The 21,715-nt window shown below is 41.8% G+C and overlaps 1 protein-coding gene across 1 annotated transcript in view; it reads right to left on the bottom strand.

The window, feature by feature from the left end:
• Window positions 1-21,715, bottom strand: part of SYCP2L (synaptonemal complex protein 2 like) — an 87,258-nt gene that overhangs the window by 42,100 nt on the left and 23,443 nt on the right. Inside the window, exons 12-20 of the mRNA NM_001040274.3 lie at window positions 21,341-21,386; window positions 19,445-19,537; window positions 19,283-19,343; window positions 7,569-7,714; window positions 5,778-5,871; window positions 4,843-4,970; window positions 3,760-3,807; window positions 1,696-1,840; window positions 721-770 (exon numbers count right to left, since the gene is read on the bottom strand). Of these exons, the coding sequence (NP_001035364.2) occupies window positions 721-770; window positions 1,696-1,840; window positions 3,760-3,807; window positions 4,843-4,970; window positions 5,778-5,871; window positions 7,569-7,714; window positions 19,283-19,343; window positions 19,445-19,537; window positions 21,341-21,386 (811 nt within the window). The remainder of the gene's footprint in view (window positions 1-720; window positions 771-1,695; window positions 1,841-3,759; window positions 3,808-4,842; window positions 4,971-5,777; window positions 5,872-7,568; window positions 7,715-19,282; window positions 19,344-19,444; window positions 19,538-21,340; window positions 21,387-21,715) is intronic.

The following is a 21,715-nucleotide window of genomic DNA, read 5'->3' as shown; positions in this document are numbered from 1 at the left end:
CGAAGGTATCCTAAGCACTTGCAAAATAAATGTCTAAATAATTAAACCATTAAAAGCTTTAGAAAAAACTAAGGGAAGAACTAAACCAACAAGTTTACATCAAAACATAAATTCAAAAGAGTAAATTTGCAGGAAATTGGAATAGCCCAGAATTTTAGCATCATTCATAATAAACATCCTCCAGCAACATTTGGGAACAGTTAAAAAAAAAAAAAAAAAGACCCTCAATCTTTTTTTTTTTTTTTGAGACACGGTCTCATTCTGTCACCCAGGCTGCAGCGCAGTGGCACAATCTCGGCTCACTGCAAACCCCACCTCCTAGGCTAAAGCCATCCTCCCACCTCAGCCTCCTGCGTAGCTGGGACTATAAGCATGTGCTACCACGCCTGGCTAATTTTTGTATTTTTTGTAGAGACGGAGTTTCACCATGTTGCCCAGGCTGGTCTCGAACTCCCAAACTCAAGTGATCCACCCGCCTTGGCATCCCAAAGTGCTGGGATTACAGGCGTGAGCCACCACACCCAGCCTAAAACACCTTAAACACTTACTTACCCAAGAGTCATATTAAACATTTAGAAGACCTTGAAATTTCTATTGGCGGTGATTCACATATCAGTAAACCAATATTTTGTTATTTTTATATTTCTGAAAGTTGTTTTTGGAGAAATAAATGCAGTTTAACTCACAGGGCACACAGCAACCCAGATACAATGTACTTACTTGGTCTTTCTCATGGCCACTGCCACTACTGGGAGGGAAAACTGGCAAGACTAAATTGAAAGAAAACAAGTGCACAACATATACATTAACTCATGAGGCATAAAAATTCTCTACTCCGTCTCCCAATATGCTAACACTAAAAGCAATTCCCACTTCCTACAGCTTCCAGAAATGTCTACTCTTAAGATCCTTTCCTGATTATTCAACCTTGTTCCTCACCACTCAGTTCCTCACCACTCAGCATGAATTCTCTGCTCTAGACTTTGTCCCTGAATGTCACCCTCACATGCTTGTTGTGTCCTTGTAGTTTGTTTCGTTTGAGACAGGGTCTCACTCTGTCGCCTGAGCTGCAGTGCAGTGGCACGATCACTGCTCGCTGCAGCCTTGACCTCCTGGGCTCAAGCAATCCTCCTGCCTCAGCCTCCCCAGTAGCTGGGACCACAGGCGCACACCACCATGCCCAGCTAATGTTTTAATTTTCTAGAGGTGTGGTCTCACCACATTGCCTAGGCTGGTCTCAAACTCCTGGGCTCAAACAACCCTCCCACCTCGGCCTCCCAAAGTGCCAGGATTAGAGGCGTGAGCCACCATGCATGCCCTTGTAGTTTTACCTACCTAAGAATGCTTCCCTTTCTCCTCTTCACATTCTATTCTTTTTTCCAAAGGTTAATTCAAGTCCCACCCACCTCTTCCTTAAAGATTTTCCTGATGATTCCAGCTCATGACAGATTCCTCTTATCTGAATTTCTACTCCATTTATACAAAACTCATCTGTAACAACTGTTGGTTAATTTCATGTTCTTCTGTTTCATGTACACAGTACATTTTGCCTTTCCAGTGTAACTGTAGCAGGGAAAGCTGGCCCCATAATCATATATTTCTTTGGACCCACTCCCATTATATACTGAAAAATAAATATCTGATTTGAAAATCACTATTTGAAAAGTGATTCAAAAGAAGACATGCCAGACTTACTTCTCAAATTACTTCTGGTTCTTGTCTTCTTTCTACTGGAATATGATTTTAGGGATTTCTTTTTCTGGTTACTGGTCCAAGATAGTTCACTGGTACTTGAATCTTGATTACTCTCAGAGAAGAGATGTTTTCTGTAATGAGACTTCTACAAGCACAGATCATAAATGAGAATTTTTAGAGGGGTGTTAGTGCCTCTTATGTATAACTAAACATATTCTACAAAGCTAGAGATAAGAGAAGTACCCTTCTAGAAGACTGGGCTCTCTTATATAATATAAAAGCAAAGAAGTATGGAGTGGAAGAAAAGGATTATTCCATCAGTCAATTCTCAACCAAGTTGCTGTTGTATAGGATGACAAAATCCTTTCTAATAAAACGTTTGCAACAGAAGAGATGGTGGATGACTGTTCAAAAGCAGACCAATCTCAATATTGTGCCTAATACTACTTGAAAATACTAAGTCAGATGGCAAAAGAAAAGTATGGGAATATTTTTTGCAAAGACAAGCCTCTCTACATTTTAGAAGAACCAAAACCAAAGAGGAGAGTTATTTCTTTTTCTTTTTTCTTTTTTTTGAGATGGAGTCTCACCCTATCGCCCAGGCTGGAGTGCAGTGGCGCCATCTTGGCTCACTGTATCCTCTGCCTCCTGTGTTCAAGCAATTATCCTGCCTCAGCCTCCAGAGTAGCTGGGATTACAGGCGCATGCCACCACCCAGCTAATTTTTTTTTTTTGTACTTTTACTAGAGACGGAGTTTCACTATGTTGGCCAGGCTGGTCTCAAACTCCTGACCTCAGATGATCCACCCACCTTGGCCTCCCAAAGTGCTGGGATTACGGGTGTGAGCCACCGCACCCAGCCCAGGAGGGTAATTTCTGTTTAAAACATAAAGCATTTTGAAATTAAGCCTGGATTATAAAAGATTAGAGATTTAGGGCAAGTTTAATCTTTCTGATGGATTATTCAACTGTACTTTGATATTTATATTTTTAAAATTTTTCTGTTCTTACATTAATTTTCATAAATGCTGTGATGAATACATGTTTGTGCTTGATTTTAATATGGAGCTTGTTTTTTTGAGTTCTGTTTGTTGGGTATCTTCAGGGCCCAGTCCTCAAGCCCTCCTGCCTCTTAAGGGGCTGTAGCATTCAGCTGCTAATAGTTCATTCTCATTTCAGGCCAGGGAGGAGCTAAGTCTCACTCCCAAACATTAGGCTCCTTCAGTCTCTAGATCCCAAATGAAGAAATGAGGCAGAGGCCAAACAAGTCATGTATTCCAAGGAAAAGCCGAGTTGAATGAAAAGAGAATACACAGCCGGGTGCGGCCAGGTGTGGTTGCTCATGCCTGTAATCCCAGCACTTTGGGAGGCGGAGGCTGGTGATCACCTGAGGTCAGGAGTTTGAGACCAGTCTGGCCAACATGGCAAATCCCAGTCTCTACTAAAGATACAAAAATTAGGTAGGCATGGTGGCATGCCCCTATAATCCTAGCTACTCAGGAGGCTGAAGCAGGAGAATTGCTTGAACCCAGAAGGCGGAGGTGGCAGTGAGCCAAGATTGTGCCATTAGCGAAACTCAGTCTTAAAAAAAAAAAAAAAGTAAAGAAAAGAGTATACACAAACATGGAGGCAAAAACAATCTCAAGGAGGGGATGGTCAAAAAATTGACAGATGGCTGATGGGGCATGGTGGCTCATGCCTGTAATCCCAGAGATTTGGGAAGCCAAAATGGGAGAATCTCTTAAGTCCAGGAGTTTGAGACCAGCCTGGGGAATGGAGCGAGACTCCATCTCTATAAAAAATTTTAAAATAAGCCAGGCGTGGTGGCACCACCTGTAGTTCTTGCTACTCAAGAAGCTGAAGCGGGAGGATCACATGAGCCTGGGAGGCTGAGGCCACGGTGAGCTATGATGACAGAACAAGGCCTTGTCTTAAAAAAATTTTTTTAAATTGACAGATGGTTGGCCAGGAGAAAATGGTCCATGAACCAGGAAAGGTGGCTTCCACCTGTCACAGTCCCACTGGAGACAGATAAGAAACTTGAGCCCCACTCCCTGTACTCACAGGTTGTTGCGGGAAGTCAGGGACCCCGAACGGAGGGACCGGCTGAAGCTATGGCAGAAGAACGTGGATTGTGAAGATTTCATAGACATTTATTAGTTCCCCAAATTAATACTTTTATAATTTCTTATGCCTGTCTTTACTCAATCTCTGAACATAAATTGTGAAGATTTCATGGACACTTATCACTTCCCCTTGTGATTTCCTATGCCTTGTGATACCCTTGTATCACAAGGGTATCACAATACCCTTGTGATTTCCTATGCCTGTCTTTAATCTCTTAATCCTGTCAGCTGAGGAGGATGTATGTCACCTCAGGACCCTGTGATGATTGCGTTAACTGCACAAATTGTAGAGCATGTGTGTTTGAACAATATGAAATCTGGGCACCTTGAAAAAAGAACAGGATAACAGCAATGTTCAGGGAATAAGAGAGATAACCTTAAACTCTGACCGCCGGTGAGCCGGGTGGAACAGAGCCATATTTCTCTTCCTTCAAAAGCAAATGGGAGAAATATCGCTGAATTCTTTTTCTCAGCAAGGAACATACCTGAGAAAGAGAATGCGCCCCTGAGGGTGGGCCTCTAAAATGGCCCCCTTGGGTGTGACCATCTTCTATGGTCGAGACTGTAGGGATAAAATAAGCCCCAGTCTCCCATAGCGCTCCCAGGCTTATTAGGGCGAGGAAATTCTCGCCTAATAAATTTTGGTCAGACCGGTTGCTCTCAAACCCTGTCTCCTGATACGATGTTATTGATGACAATGGTGCCCGAAACTTCATTAGCAATTTTAATTTCGCCCCGGTCCTGTGGTCCTGTGATCTCGCCCTGCCTCCATTTGCCTTGTGATATTCTATTACCTTGTGAAGTACGTGATCTCTGTGACCCACACCCTATTCGTACACTCCCTCCCCTTTTGAAAATCCCTAATAAAAACTTGCTGGTTTTACAGCTCAGGGGGCATCACGGAACCTACCGACATGTGATGTCTCCCCTGGATGCCCAACTTTAAAATTTCTCTCTTTTGTAGTCCGTCCCTTTATTTCTCAACCTGGCCGATGCTTAGGGAAAATAGAAAAGAACCTACGTGACTATCAGAGGCAGGTTCCCCAATAACAGGTGGCTCAGATTGGTCATTTAAGTGGAGAGTTATTAGGCAGCGGTCATCTTCAGCACTCATAAACTCCACCATGTTAGTGGATTCTTCTGCCTGCTCTATACAAATTAAGAAAAAGACTAATATAATAACCGTGCACACGCTGACATACTCACCAGTGGTCTTCATGGGATGTCCCCTCTGGTACCTCTCCATCCTTTGGTAAGACCTGGTAATTAGGTCCTGCCTCAAACCTCCAATCAGAAAGCTATGGGTACAGGCTGGCATGTTGGCTCACGTCTGTAATCCCAGGACTTTGGGAGGCCAAAATGGGCAGATCACTTGAGGCCAGGAGTTTGAGACCAGCCTGGCCAACATGGCAAAATCCCGTCTCTGCTGAAAATACAAAAAATTAGCTGGGCATGGTGGCACACACCTGTAGTACCAGCTACTTGGGAGGCTGAGGCAGAAGAGTTGCTTAAACCTAGGAGGCAGAGGTTGCAGTGAGCCGAGATCGTGCCACTGCACTCCAGCCTGGGCAACAGAGCAAGACTCCATCTCAAAAAAAAAAAAAAAAGAAAAGAAATCTATGGGCACTTGGGAAAACAGCCTTGGGGCATAACTCAAAAGAGAAACACGGTCTAGTGCAGGGCCGACTTTGTGGGTAGACAAGACCTTCCTTACCCCCATGTCCTGCCTCCCCCAAACCCCATCATTTCTTCTTTGTCATTTCCAGTTGACCCACAAGAGAGACCTTAACAGGTGTAGAAAACAATTCAAGGCTATCAGCAACTCTTCTTCCTCCAGAAGTGCCATCAGACACGCATCACTCATATGACCACAGGTTTCCAGTGACCTCTTCCAACTAAGGTTTCATCGCTTTTACAGAAAACTCAGGGTCAGAATTTTGTTATTTCCCAATATACCTGTTTCTCTTTCAAGGCCACTGGGACTCTCCCTGTCTTCTTTATCAGACTTACTAAAAAGTTCTGAGGAGATTTTCGTCTGGTCAGGCAACATCTGAAATGCAAGACAAAGGTCAACTTTGAAATGTAGTCATCTTTAAAAAAAAAAAAATTTAAGGAAAACGTAAAGCTTAGAACAAAACACACTGATAAATCAGAAGTTAGTCAAGTTTACCAGTTTGTCCTCTCCTGAAGGATCATTCCACTGTTTCTGGCTTCTCCAGGCCCCACCTCCCTACAGGACCAGCTCGGGCTAGCCATTCCCCTGCTCCAAGCACTCTTTCCTGGTATCTTCCCAGCCTCTCCTGTCTCTGGCCCAGGTCTTACCCCATTGGGTAACGTCTAACCGCTGCTTCTCTCAGGCACTGAGTCTCTTTCAGGATGAGTCTGTAGTGAGTTCCCAACTATAGGGTCCTCAGTCCAACCCCTTTCCCTAGAATAGGGGCCTCCTATTCTAGGAACTACAGCTTTATCACAGGAAAATCCTCATTCTCCCCTCAAAACGTTATTATTCATTTTGTGAAACTGGAAAGACATATGATTTCGATGTTTTTGTGAGTTAAGGCAAACTTGTCTTCAGAACATATGTAATTTGATGGAGGAGGTGTTTTTTAACCAAGTGACTGATTTCCCCTTTATTTCTCATCCTCATCCATGAAATGGCCTTTTTGTAAAAAGACCATGTCATTAAAATAAGGTGAGTTTTTAGAAACTATTTTCAGAGCACTTTGCTACATATAAACACCTTCATATACAACTCAAACCAAAAGGAAACCAGCCCAAGACTTCCTTATCTGGTCTCTGAGCTCTTAATTCAACTTTCTATGGGCCATTACCACAGTATTTTTTGCCTTTTGTCACAAATTTCTTTGCCCTGTCTACCATCTGTGATACAGAAAGGTTTCCTGTTTCTGTCAATAAGTAGGAAACAGAGAGAGTTGGAGACCACAGCAATCTAGAGAAGTACAGACCATTTCCACAAGATAAGACCAACAGGTACAACTGTGGAAAAAGTCCCTCAGAAACTTTATTCCTAATGACTCCCTGATACAGTCTGGCTGTGTCCCCACCCAAATCTCATCTTGAATTGTAGCTCCCGTAATTCCCACATGTCATGGGAGAGACCCCATGGGAGGTAACTGAAACATGGGGATGGGTCTTTCCCATGCTGTTCTGACAGTAAGTCTCACAAGATCTGATGGTTTTATAAAGGGGAGTTCCCCTACTCTCTTGCCTGCCGCCATGTAAGATGTGACTTTGCTCCTCCTTTGCCTTCTACCATGATTGTGAAGCCTCCCCAGCCATGTTGAACTGTGAGTCCATTAAACCTCTTTCCTTTATAAATTACCCAGTCTCTGGTATGTCTTTATTAGCAGCGTGAGAACAGACTAATACACTCCCCCTAGGTCCAGGGGGAGCTGAGAGAGACAGAAATGCCAGTGTCCTCAGGACTCCAGGAAGAAGGTGGTAACAGGGTGATATTATCCTAGAAAACCTTTCAGCTGTTCACAGTTAGTAGAGTAAAGCATTTCAAGGAACAAAGAGGCTTTCTATCCTACCTCAAGACAATGACCCATCAAAAGGGAAAACTGGGATTTAAATCCAGAACTCTCAACTCTTTTTTACATGGCATTTGAAAGACCAGGTTTTCTGCTTTATCAAATATTCACATCAAAACCCAACAAGGACATTTAATAGACATGAAACATACTAAAACATTTTTAAATAATCCAAAAGAATGAAACCTGCCACCTGTTTGTCTTCTCCTAAAGCTTGAATGGAAACTTGTGATATGTTGAACTGCAAATCAAAATGGATTTCTATTTTCATGACTTCTTTGTAGCTGATAATCATGGGCTTCTTCAGGTAAATGATAAATATCTTTATCTTCTCCGTTTCTAAGAGAAAATATGGAATATCAATGCATAGCAACATACTTCAATGTTTTATTTTAAAATTTTATCATTTTAAATAACTACGCTAGGGTATTTGTCCAGATTTTTCTGTGTTAAGAAGTTGAAAAGAAATCATATTAAATAACATTACTTTGAAATTGTCCTTTAGATGCACATGTATTTACACATATACACATACAACACAATTAAGTGGTTGATCTTGCAAACATTGGAAGTAACTTACCTTAGCAGCAAAGAAATGAAGATAGTTTTGTCTTCTGCAATTCAGTTTTTTTAAGAGCATTTTGTTTATACAAGGCTATCATCTGCAACAGGTATTTTATTCCCAAATATACTATGCACAATATTCACTCTCTCTCTCTCTGAAATTCTACTTATTTCTAAAATTGAAAATAAAACTCACTGTCCCCAATGTGCAAAATGGAATAATCTACCACCATTTCAATGGACTCCACTTGAAGAAGAGACGGAAACACCTTAGAAAAAATTCTGTAGGCCAGGCGTGGTGGCTCACGCCTGTAATCCCAGCACTTTGGGAGGCCGAGGCGGGTGGATCACGAGGTCAGGAGATGGAGACCATCCTGGCTAACACGGTGAAACCCTGTCTCTGCTAAAAATACAAAAAAATTAGCCGGGCGTGGTGGTGGGTGCTTCTAGTCCCAGCTATTCGGGAGGCTGAGGCGGGAGAATGGCGTGAACCCAGGAGGCGGAGCTTGCAGTGAGCCGAGATCGTGCCACTGCACTCCAGCCTGGAGGAGAGAGCTAGACTCCGTCTCAAGAAAAAAAAAAAAAAAGAAAAAGAAAAAGAAAGAAGTCTGCGTCTCCCAGCACTTTGGGAGGCCGAGGCGGGTGCATCACGAAGTCAGGAGTTTGAAACCAGCCTGACCAACACACTGAAACCCTATCTCTACTGAAAATACAAAAATTAGCTGGGCGTGGTGGTGCACCCCTGTAATCCCAGCTACTCAGGAGGCTGAGGCAGGAGAATTGCTTGAACCCGCTAAGCGGAGGTTGCAATGAGCCGAGATCATGCCACTGCACTCCAGCCTGGGTGACAGAGCAAGCCTCCATCTCAAAAAAAAAAAAAAAAAAAAAAAGTGTGTGTTTCAGACAATAGCCTCCTTGCAGCCTCCTCCCAGGTCACCAGCCCTTTCCTGACAAATTGTAATCGGGCTTACAAGAGAAAATGGCTTAGACCAAATTCACAAAGAGGCCAAGAATACACCACATTAAGTACAAGGTAAGTCGGAAGAAGGAGAATAGAAAAGGCAGCAAAGTCCAGGAAAGAACAGGCAAAGCTAATGGCCACAAATTAATGAGACGGGAAACAAGGGGAAAAAAGAGGGAAACATACATGAGTCTAAATCTGTGAGGTCCAACTCATCAGAGTACTGAAAGCATGCCTAGTACTAACCGAGATGCTCTGTAAGCACAAAATACGCATCGGATTATGAAGACTCAGTACACAAAAGAAGAATGTAAAATGTATCATTAATAATTTTAAAATATTGATTACATGTTAAAATAATATTCTGGATATTATTATTCCAGGATATAATATTCTGGGTTAAACAAAATATATTAATAAAATTAATCTACTTAATCTACTTTTTTAATCTACTCAAATTAATCTACTTTTTTCTTTAATGTGACTACTAGAAAATTTTAAATTAAGTATCTGGCTCACCTCATATTTCTATAGGACAGTGCTGGTCTAGAGTAAGCCTCCATGATCTCCCCAAAATACTAATCTTGCCGGACATTTTACTCATCACTCCAGGGAAAGTCTATAAAACCATGCAACAAAAGTAATCTTAAATATCTTAAAAAGTAACTAGCTAATTGTTAGCCCGGCATGGTGGCGGGCGCCTGTAGTCCCAGCTACTCGGGATGTTGAGGCAGAAGAATGGCGTGAACCCGGGAGGAGGAGCTTGCAGTGAGCTGAGATCGCACCACTGCACTCCAGCCTGGACGACAGAGTGAGACTTCGTCTCAAAAAAAAAAAAAAAAAAGTAACTAGCTAACTGGGCCGTGGGATCAATGCAAACATATACAAGGGTCAGAAGAAATACCATGAGGGCTACATCAAGCTTCCAACATACTACACTGCCAACTCCATAACCAGAAGGGCTATGATACAGAACAAAAGTCTTACTTACGGAATTTACTAGACAATCATCAGTTTCTTTGGCTATAAGAATGGAAAGAGTAATACCTACTTCCTGTAGAAATTGTGAGGCACTTTGTAAATTAAAAACCATGAACCACAGAAACGTGATCTATTCATGAAGTTACAAAATATTAACTTTGGCAAGTTGACTCCTGAAAGCTGTTAACTGAGCACCCACATTCTTAAAGAAAATAATGAATTATTTTTACCTTTTTCCTTTTCCCCCACCTCTTACTTAGCTCTTTAGGAATGCAATTATGAAAAACAAACAAACAAACAAACAAAAAACATTAAAAAGTGGTCGGCCAGGCATGTTGGCTCACGCCTGTAATCCAGCACTTTGGGAGGCCGAGGCGGGCAGATCACGAGGTCAGGAGACCGAGACCATCCTGGCTAACACGGTGAAACCCCGTCTTTACTAAAAAATACAAAAAATTAGCCAGGTGTGGTGGCGGGCGCCTGTAGTCCCAGCTACTCGGGAGGCTGAGGCAGAAGAATGGCATGAACCCAGGAGGCGGAGCTTGCAGTGAGCCAAGATCGCGCCACTGCACTTCAGCCTGGGCGACAGAGCGAGACTCCATCTCAAAAAAAAAAAAAGGTGGTCAAAGGACATAAACAGACACTTCTCAAAAGAAGATATTCATGCAGCCAACAAACGTATGAAAAAAACCTCAACATCACTGATCATCAGAGAAATGCAAATCAAAACCACAATGAGATACCATCTCATGCCAGTCAGAATGGCTATTATTAAAAAGTCAAACAACAGATGCTGGCAAGGTTGCGGAGAAAAAGGAAGACTTTACACTGTTGGTGGGAGCGTAAATTAGTTCAACCATTGTGGAAGGCAGTGTGGTGATTCCTCAAAGACCTAGAGAAAGAAATACCATTTGACCCAGCAATCCCATTACTGGGTATATGCCTAAAGGAATATAAATCATTCTATTATAAAAATACATGCACACCTATGTTCATTGCAGCACTATTCACAATAGCAAAGACATGGAATCAATCTAAATTCCCATCAATGATAGACTGGATAAAGAAAATGTGGTACATACACACCTTGGAATACTATGCAGCCATAAAAAAAATGAGATCATGTCCTTTGCAGGGACATGGATGGAGCTTGAAGCCATCATCCACAGCAAACTAACACAGGAACAGAAAACCAAACACCGCATGTTCTCACTTATAAGTGGGAGCTGAATGATGAGAACACATGGACACATTGCGGGGAACACATACTGGGGCCTGGGTATGTTGGGGGAGAACATCAGGAAGAACAACTAATGGATGCTGGGCTTAACACTTAGGTGATGGGATGATCTGTGCAGCAAACCACTATGGCACATGTAACAAACCTGTACATCCTGCACATGTACCTATGTAACAAACCTGTACATCCTGCACCTATGTAACAAACCTGTACATCCTGCACATGTACCCATGAACTTAAAAGTTGAAGAAAAAAAAAAAGGAACGCAATTATAACATTTACCTTCTTTCCATGAGGCACTCTCTGTCCTGCAGAGAGTATGTAACAAACCTGTACATCCCGCACATGTACCCATTAACTTAAAAGTTACCTATGTAACAAACCTGTAACAAACCTGTGTAGGTTTACCTATGTAACAAACCTGTACATCCTGCACATGTACCCATGAACTTAAAATAAAAGTTGAAGAAAATAAAAAAAGGAACGCAATTATAACATTTACCTTCTTCCCATGAGGCACTCTCTGTGCTGCAAGCTCATCTAACTATATGTTTGCTTAGAAATTCTAAGGAGGCCAGGCACGGTGTCTCACGCCTGTAATCTCAGCACTTTGGGAGGGCGAGGCTGTTGGATCACTTGAGGTCAGGAGTTCGAGACCAGCCTGGCCAACATGGCAAAACCCCATCTCTACTAAAATACAAAAATTAGCTGGGTATGGTGGTATAGGCCTGTAATCCCAGCTACTCAGGAGGCTGAGGCAGGAGAATCGTTTGAACACAGGAGGCAGAGGTTGCAGTGAGCCAAGATCACGCCACTGCACTCCAGCCTGGGTGACACAGTGAGAGTCTCAAAACCAAACCAAACCAAACCAAACAAAACAAAAAGAAATTCTAAGGAACAAACGTTGAACCAAACCAGGCACCCCCTGAGATTCTCCCCACCAGGAGATTGCCTTGAGACAACAGTCAATGTACAACCTAGTTCTGCCCACGATGGCACCAGCCAGACCACCTGATGGATAAGACATCAAAGCAAGTCATGAAGACCCCACACTTCCTCACTCTCTCCCTTACATGCCATTCATGCCAAGTCCCCTTTAAAATCCCCTGCTTTCTTGCTCACCCATTGCCTGCAAACAGACTTGGTGGTTTTGAGGGTGGGGGGTACCGTGGGAGTGAGACCGGCCCTTTGGATTGCATGGGAGCTGGGTGAGGCCTGTGACTGCTGACTTTTCCCCATTTCCCTGACAACCTGCATGACTCAGCAGAGACAGCCATAATCCTCCTAGGAACATAACTCCATTGACCTGGGAACCTCACCCATATCCCCACAGCAGCCACAGCAAGACCCACCCAAGGAGAGTCTGAGTTCAGACACTCCTAATCCTGCCCCCACCCAATGATCCTTCCCTACCTATCCTGGTAACTGAAGACTAAGGGAATATACTCTTGGGAGTTCTAGGGCCCCACCCACCGCCTGTTCCTCCCTACACTACCATAGCTGATGCTCTCTGGAAATCACCACCTACCGGCAGAAGGCCAACCAGCACAAAAACAGAGCATTAAACTACCAAAGTTAAGAACCATCACAGAGTCCATTTCACCCCACTGCCACCTCCATCAGAACAGGTGCTGGTATCCATGGCTGAGAGACCCATAGACAGTTCACATCACAGGACTCTGTACAGACAACCCCCAGTACCAGCCCGGAGCCTAGTAGACTTGCTGGGTGGCTAGATCCTGAAGAGAGATAATAGTCCCTACGGCTCGGCTCTCAGGAAGCCACAACCATAGGAAAAGAGGGAGAGTACTACATCAAGGGCACACCCCATGGGACAAAAGAATCTGAACAACAGCCTTCAGCCCCAGACCTTCCCTCTGACAGAGCCTACCCAAATGAGAAAGAACCAGAAAACCAACTCTAGTACTATGACAAAATAAGGTTCTTTAACACCCTCCAAAAATCATACTAGCTCACCAGCAATGGATCCAAACCAAGAAGAAATCCCTGATGTACCTGAAAAAGAATTCAGGAGGTTAGTTATTAAGCTAATCAGGGAGGCACCAGAGAAAGGTGAAGCCCAATGTAAGGAAATAAAAAAATCATACAAGAAGTGAAAGGAGAACTATTCAATGAAATAGATGGCATAAATAAAAAACAATCAAAATTTCAGGAAACAATGGACAACTTACAGAAATGCAAAATGCTCTGGAAAGTCTCAGCAATAGAATCGAACAAGTGGAAGAAAGAAAGTCAGCCGGGCATGGTAGCTCACGCCTGTAATCCCAGCACTTTGGGAGGCCAAGGTGGGCGGATCACGAGGTCAGGAGATTGAGACCATCCTGGCCAACATGGTGAAACCCGTCTCTACTAAAAATACAAAAATTAGCTGGGTATGGTGGCACGTGCCTGTAATCCCAGCTACTCGGGAGGCTGAGGCATGAGAATCACTTGAACCCAGGAGGCGGAGGTTGCAGTGAGCTGAGATCACACCATTGCACTCCAGCCTGGCAACAGAGCGAGACTCTGTCTCAAAAAAAGAAAAGAAAAAAAAAGTCAGAGCCCGAAGACAAGGTCTTCGAATTCACCCAATACAACAAAGACAAAGAAAAAAGAATAAGAAAATACGAACAAAGTCTCCAAGAAGTCTGGGATGATGTTAAACGACCAAATGTGAGAATAATTGGCACTCCCGAGAAAGAAGAGAAATACGAAAGTTTGGAAAATATATTTGGGGGAATAATCAAGGAAAACTTCCCCAGCTTTGCTAGAGACCAAGACATCCAAATACAAGAAGCACAAAGAACACTCGGGAAATTCATCACAAAAAGATCATTGGCGAGGCACATTGTCATCAGGTTTTCTTTCCTTTTCTTTTTTTTTTTTTTTTTGAGATGGAGTCTCGCTCTGTCGTCCAGGCTGGAGTAAGGTGGCGCGATCTCGGCTCACTGCAAACTCCTCCTCCTGGGTTCACACCACTCTCCAGCCTCAACCTCCCAACAAAGGAAAGAATCTTGAGAGCAGTGAGACAAAAGCACCAGGTAACCTATAAAGGAAACCTACCAGATTAACAGCAGATTTCTCAGCAGAAATCCTACAAGCTAGAAGGGATTGGGGCCCTATCTTCAGCCTCCTCAAACAAAACAATTATCAGCCAAGAATTTAGTATCCAGAGAAAATAAGCTTCACATATGAAGGAAAGATACAGCCTTTTTCAGACAAATAAATGCTGAGAGAATTTGCCACTACCAAGCCACCACTACAAGAACTGCTAAAAGGAGCTCTAAATCTTGAATCCTGGAAACACATCAAAACAGAACCTCTTTAAGGCATAAATCACACAGGACCTATAAAACAAAAATACAATATTACAAACAAAACCCAAGGCATATAAGCAAGAAGTAGCATGATGAATGGAATGGTACCTCACATCTCAATACTAACATTGAATGTAAATGGCCTAAATGCTCCACTTAAGAGATACAGAATTGCAGAATGAATAAGAATTCACCAACCATCTGCTGTCTTCAAGAGACTCACCTAACACATAAGGACTCACATAAACTTAAGGTAAAGGCGTGGAAAAAGACATTTCATGCAAAAGGACACCAAAAGCGAGCAGGAGTAGTTATTCTCATATCAGACAAAACAAACTTTAAAGAAACAGCAGTTAAAAAAGACAAAGAGGGACATTATGTAATGATAAAAGGCCTTGTCCAACAGAAAAATATCACAATCCTAAACATATATGCACCTAACACTGGAGTTCCAAAATTTATAAAACAATTACTAATAGACTTAAGAAATGAGATAGACAGCAACACGATAATCGTGGGGGACTTCAATACTCCACTGACAGCACTAAACAGGTCATCAAGACAGAAAGTCAACAAAGAAACAATGGATTTAAACTACACCCTGGAACAAATGAACTTAACAGATACATACAGAACATTCCATCCAACAACCGCAGAATATACGTTCTATTCAACAGGTGCCTGGAACTTTCTCCAAGATAGACCATATGAGAAGACCACAAAACAAGCCTCAATAAATTTAAGAAAACTGAAATTATTATGATGATTATTTTATTTTTTGAAATGGAGTCTTGCTCTGTCACCCAGGCTGGAGTGCAGTAGTGCAATCTTGGTTCACTGCAACCTCCACCTCCCAGGTTCAAGCGATTTTCCTGCCTCAGCCTCCCAAGTAGCTGGCATTACAGGCATGCGCCACCATGCCCGGCTAATTTTTTTGTATTTTTAGTAGAGACAGGGTTTCACCATGTTGACCAGGCTGGTCTTGAACTCCTGACCTCAGGTGATCTGCCCACCCTGGCCTCCCAAAGTGCCGGGATTACAGGCGTGAGCCACCACGCCTCGGCTAGAAAGTTGAAATTATATCAAGCACTCTCTCAGACCATAGTGGAATAAAACTGGAAATCAACTCCAAAAGGAACCTTCAAAACCATGCAAATACATGGAAATTAAATAACCTGCTACTGAATGATCATTGGGTCAAAAATGAAATCAAGATGGAAATTTAAAAATTCTTTGAACTGAGTGACAACAGTGACACAACCTATCAAAACCTCTGAGATACAGCAAAGGCAATGCTAAGAGGAAAGTTCACAGCCCTAAACACCTACATCAAAAAGTCTGAAAGAGCACAAACAGACAATCTAAGGTCACACCTCAAGGAACTAGAGAAATAAGAACAAACCAAACTCAAACCCCGTAGAAGAAAAGAAATAACCAACATCAGACCAGAACTAGATGAAATTGAAACAAAACAATACAAAAGATAAATGAAACAAAAAGCTGGTTCTTTGAAAAGATAAATAAAACTGATAGACCATGAGTAAGACTAACCAAGAAAAGAAGAGAGAAAATCCAAATAAACTCAGTAAGAAATGAAACAGGAGATATTACAACTGACACCACTGAAATACAAAAGATCATTTAAGGCTTCTATGAACACCATTACACACATAAACTAGAAAACCTAGAAGAGATGGATAAATTTCTGGAAAGATACAACCCTCCTAGCTTAAATCAGGAAGAATCAGATACCCTGAATAGACCAATAACAAGCAGTGAGATTGAAATTGTAATTTAAAAATTACCAACACCAAAAAGTCCAGGACCAGACAGATTCACAGCAGAATTCTACCAGACAGTCAGAGAAGAATTGGTGCCAATCCTACTGACATTATTCCACAAGATAGAGAAAAAGGGAACCCTCCCTAAATCATTCTATGAAGCCAGTATCACCCTAATACCAAAAGCAGGAAGGGACATTACCAAAAAAGAAAACTACAGACCAATATCCCTGATGAACATAGATGCTAAAATTCTTAACAAATACTAGCTAACCGAATCCAACGACATATCAAAAAGATAATCCACCATCATCAGGTGGGTTTCATACCAGGGATGCAGGAATGGTTTAATATGCACAAGTCAATAAATGTGATACACCACAAAAACAGAATTAAAAACAAAAATCACATGATCATCTGAATAGATGCAGAAAAAGCATTCGACAAAATCCAGCATCCCTTTATGATTAAAACTCTCAGCAAAATCGGCATACAAGGGACATACCTCAATGTAATAAAAGCCATCTATGACAAACCCATAGCCAACATAATACCGAATGGGGAAGAGTTGAAAGCATTCCATCTGAGAACTGGAACAGGACAAGGATGCCCACTCTCACCACTCCTCTTCAACATAGTATCGGAAGTCCTAGCCAGAGCAATCAGACAAGAGACAGAAATAAAGGGCATCCAAATTGGTAAAGAGGAAGTCAAACTGTCTCTGTTTGCTGATGATAATGATTGTATACCTAGAAAACTCTAAAGATTCCTCCAGAAAGCTCCTTGAACTGATAAAAGAATTCAGCAAAGTTTCCAGATATAAAATTAATGTACACAAATCGGTAGCTCTTCTATACACCAACAGCAACCAAGCTGAGAATCAAATCAAGAACTCAACCCCTTTTACCATAGATGCAAAAAACAAAATAAAATAACTTAGGGATGGGCCAGGTGCGGTGGTTCACGCCTGTAATCCCAGAACTTTGGGAGGCTGAGTTGGGCGGATCACCTGAGGTCAGGAGTTCATGATCGGCCTGGCTAACATGGTGAAACCCAGTCTCTACTAAAAATACAAAATTAGCTGGGTGTGGTGGTGGGCACCTGTAATCCCAGCTACTCAGGAGGCTGAGGCAGGAGAATCGCTTGAACCCAGGAGGCAGAGGTTGCAGTGAGTTGAGATCACACCACTGTACTCACTCCAGCCTGGGTGACAGAGTAAGACTCCATCTCCAAAAAAAAAAAAAAAAAAAAACTTAGGGATATACCTAACCAAGGAGGTGAAAGATCTCTACAAGGAAAACTACAAAACACTGCTGAAAGAAATCATAGACGACACAAACAAATGGAAACACATCCCATGCTCATGGATGGGTAAAATCAATGAAAATGATCACACTGCCAAAAGCAATCTACACATTCAATACAATTCCCAGTAAAATATCACCATCATTCTTCACAGAATTAGAAAAAACAATCCAAAAATTTGTATGGAACCAAAAAGAGCCCACGTAGCCAAAGCAAGACTAAGCAAAAAGAACAAATCTGGAGGCATCAAATTACCGGACTTCAAACTATACTACAAGGCCATAGTCATGAAAACAGCATGGTACTGGTATAAAAATAGGCACATAGACCAATGGAACAGAATAGAGAACCCAGAAATAAACCCAAATACATACAGCAAACAAAAACATAAAAGTAGGGAAAGGATATCCTTTTCAACAAATGGTGCTGGGATAATTAGCAAGCCACATGTAGGAGAATGAAACTGGATCCTCCTCCCTCTCCTTATACAAAAATCAACTCAAGACGGATGAAGGACTTAAATCTAAGACCTGAAACTATAAAAATTCTAGAAGAATGGGCACGGTGGCTCACACATGTAATCCCAGCACTTTGGGAGGCCAAGGTGGACGGATCACCTGAAATCAGGAGTTCAAGACCAGCCTGACCAACAGGGAGAAACCCCATCTCTATTAAAAATACAAAAAATTAGCCAGGCATGGTGGCACATGCCTGTCATCCCAGCAACTCAGGAGGCCAAAGCACAAGAATTGCTTGAACCTGGGAGGCAGAGTTTGTGGTGAGCCAAGATCGCGCCATTGCACTCCAGCCTGGGCAACAAGAGCAAAACTCCACTTCAAAAAAAAAAAAATTCTAGAAGATAACATTGGAAAAACCCTTCTAGACATTGGCTTAGGCAAGGATTTCATGACCAAAAAACCAAAAGCAAATGCAATAAAAACAAAGATAAATAGCTGGGACTTAATTAAACTAAAGATCTTTTGCGTGGCAAAAGGAACAGTCAGCAGAGTAAACAGACAACCCACAGAGTGGAGAAAACCTTCACAATCTATACATCTGACAAAGGACTAATATCCAGAATTTACAACGAACTCAAACAATTCAGCAAGAAAAAAAAAATCCCATCCAAAAGTGGGGTAAGGACATGAATAGACAATTCTCAAAAGATATACAAATGGCCAGAAAACACGAAAAAATGCTCAACATCACTAATGATCAGGGGAATGCAAATCAAAATCTCTGATCTGCAAAGCCCTTGATCCTAACTACTAGTTACAAGAGAGCCTGGCAATCCATCTCCGTAGAGGGGGCAGGCACCTTCATTTCCTGACAGCCATGTCCTTTCTTGCTAGATGTCTTCCTTACTAACCACAGTTTACTACCTGATTTTCTAGGTTTATCAAGAGAGGAACTAGGATGACATGTTCTCCTCTCCCCATCAGACTCTTTCAAACCAAAGCAGCACTTTGGGGAAAAGCATTGTTAATTGATTGCTGGATCATATGGTAGTTCTACTTTTAATTTTGTGAGGATCTATAAACATTTTTAAAATGAAAAAACTAGACAAATAATTTAATCCCAAGGTCACAAAGCATAGAAGTCACAAACCTGTGACAGCGCACCTTCTATCATACCATACAGCCTTCCTACCTCAAGGCATGGTCAAAATATGCCCTAGAATTAAATAAATACACACTGCATATACAACAGAAATAATATTTGGAACTGGACGTGGGTTGTTTAAATGTATCATATTACCTGTTATGCTGAAATTCATCACCGCTTCCTTCGGAAGTGTCACTGAGTCCCATAGAGTATTCTTGGGAAAATAAATAAGTGAAATTCATGAGTGCAAAACACATACTTACATAAAAAAGATCTCTAAAGGCTTAGTTCTAACCAAGAATCGAACATCATTACCTCAGCATTGTCTATATAAAAAGTGACACTCTGACTTCCTAGGTTGAAGTCGATCCAAAATTTCTCTAATTTTTCATCCGCTGGTTTTCTCATCTGTAAGAGATCATTTCAGCATGACTTATACACATAAAAATCATGCTATAGGGTCAGATAAACATTATTCCCTTGAAAATAGAATTTGTGCTCTTCCTGGAACAGCATTATCCTAGCATTATAGGGCCTCTATTGACTGACTCTTTTGTGCAAAACAGAAGGATCTCAATTTTATAGAACTCAGCCATTTCCTCCTCACCCCTCCAAAAATCCCACTATCCTTAGCATATTTGATAGATATTTAAATGTGTCACATTATTCTATCCACACAATTTTTTTTCTAATGAAAATCACGGAGAAAACAGTTCTATGTTGAATCAGTAACAAGCCACACTGCATATGGATGGAAACTTCTGGAGAAGGAGATACTGTAACCAAACATGAGTGATTTGCCATCTATCTTCCAACCATTAGAGTACAGCTAAGACTTGAAGACTTCAAATTTCCTTCATTTTAATTATTCTAAAATAAATAGATGCTTAGAGTTAAAACAGGGGAAGAAAGATTCTAACAGTATGGTGTTTATAGAAACAGTAAACATCTTCTCTGCCCCTCAGTTTTTCATAAGTACCTTTCCATAGGCACCATTAACAATGCCTTTGTTTCCTCCCAGATGTTTTCTAGACATGTATCAACAAGTATACTCGGGAGGCTGAGGCAGGAGAATGGCATGAACCCGGGAGGCGGAGTTGGCAGTGATCCGAGATCACATGATGGCACTCCAGCCTGGGCAACAGAGTGAGACTCCGTCTCAAAAAAAAAAAAAAAAAAAAAAAAAGCTTTTATTCCCCAACAACAGATAAAACACTAGACTTACTATTCTACAATCCAACTTTCCAATAAGTTGTATTTCTTGGACATCTTTCCTTTGTATCATACATGTCTACCTTTTAATAGCTACAGAGGTGAATGAGGGCTTTCACCCACAATACATGTTCCTGGAAGCCAATGTAAGGGTCAGGGTAAGGGCCCTGATGGAAGTGAATGGAAATTTGGATGTCATAGAAAGAAGAAAAACCAAACAGAGAGCAGAATCTTCAGACAACCAAAGGGAAAATACACAGAATTGAGACACAAGAATCAGCCTACCAGACTCAGTTCTAGAGAGAAGGAATGTGTAGTGTAGCCATGAGCTGAAAGTTTAGCTCTGAGAGGCCAAGAAGGGGACTCTGAACCCAAAACAAAGAAATCATGAATGAGGACATTCTGAAGACAGGGTTCAGGACACTCAAACAAAGTCAAGCTTCCAAGACCTCTAAATATTTTAGCCTGAAACTGAGATGCTGTAGGTTAGGGCCCTTTTATATGAAGGACCTTGTTCCTCTAGAAACCAAATGGGGGGTGGGGAAGAAACTGGTCAACCTTGGACTATAAAGTGCAAGGTAGAATGAGAGAGAGAGAAAGGACAGTGGCCCCAGTTGTTGAGAATAAGAGGACAGGGCATAAACCGGAAGGAAAGAAGCAAGGAAATCATCCTTTTTACCCCAGTCTAGGCATGAATTATGTTACCCATGAATAGGGTAAAATGAGGCAAGCTTCCTGTAACTGTGCTCATGTACACAGTACAGACCCTAAAATTCCTTTTTCCAGTAGTAACAGTAGAGGCCTTAAACTTACTGGTAACGCATTCTGGTTAGGGTATGGTATGATCGGTTTGAGAACTGAGGTCATTAGAAGACGTTGGCATCCTTTTTTAAAAAGCCCTTTTGAGTTATGAGAGCAAAAGTTTGATCTAACCACGTAAACCTAACTCCTGGTTTCACTGCACACCGCCCTCAGGACCTCCAAGAGGGATGAACATACCTCATGCTCATCAGCAAAAGCAGCAATACACGGAAATGAATACACCCTGCAAAATACCTCACAATTAAAAAAATAAAACATGAATGAATCTTAAACACATCTACAGACGTTCCGCAACAAGCACTTATAACTAGAGTATGCCATTAAGTCTCCTCGTACAGAGTACAATAGGGGGTTTCAAGCCTGCAAATGGAGACCTACTATGGGTAGATTTCAAATCTCCATCTGGCAGTCAGTAAGCCAGGTTTACTAGTACTATATCTCAACCCAGTTACTCAGCCAGATTCCCAAACAAAAGGAGTGAATTTAGCAAATATTGTCTGACCAAGGACTTAACTGTTCACGATACAACTACCTCCAGCAACCTCAAGTCAG

This window comes from Homo sapiens, chromosome 6, assembly GCF_000001405.40.
Source record: "Homo sapiens chromosome 6, GRCh38.p14 Primary Assembly".
In the NCBI taxonomy this organism is placed as follows: Eukaryota; Metazoa; Chordata; class Mammalia; order Primates; family Hominidae; genus Homo; species Homo sapiens.
Note: the sequence above shows the minus strand (reverse complement) of the source record. Positions and strands in the feature narration are given on the sequence as shown.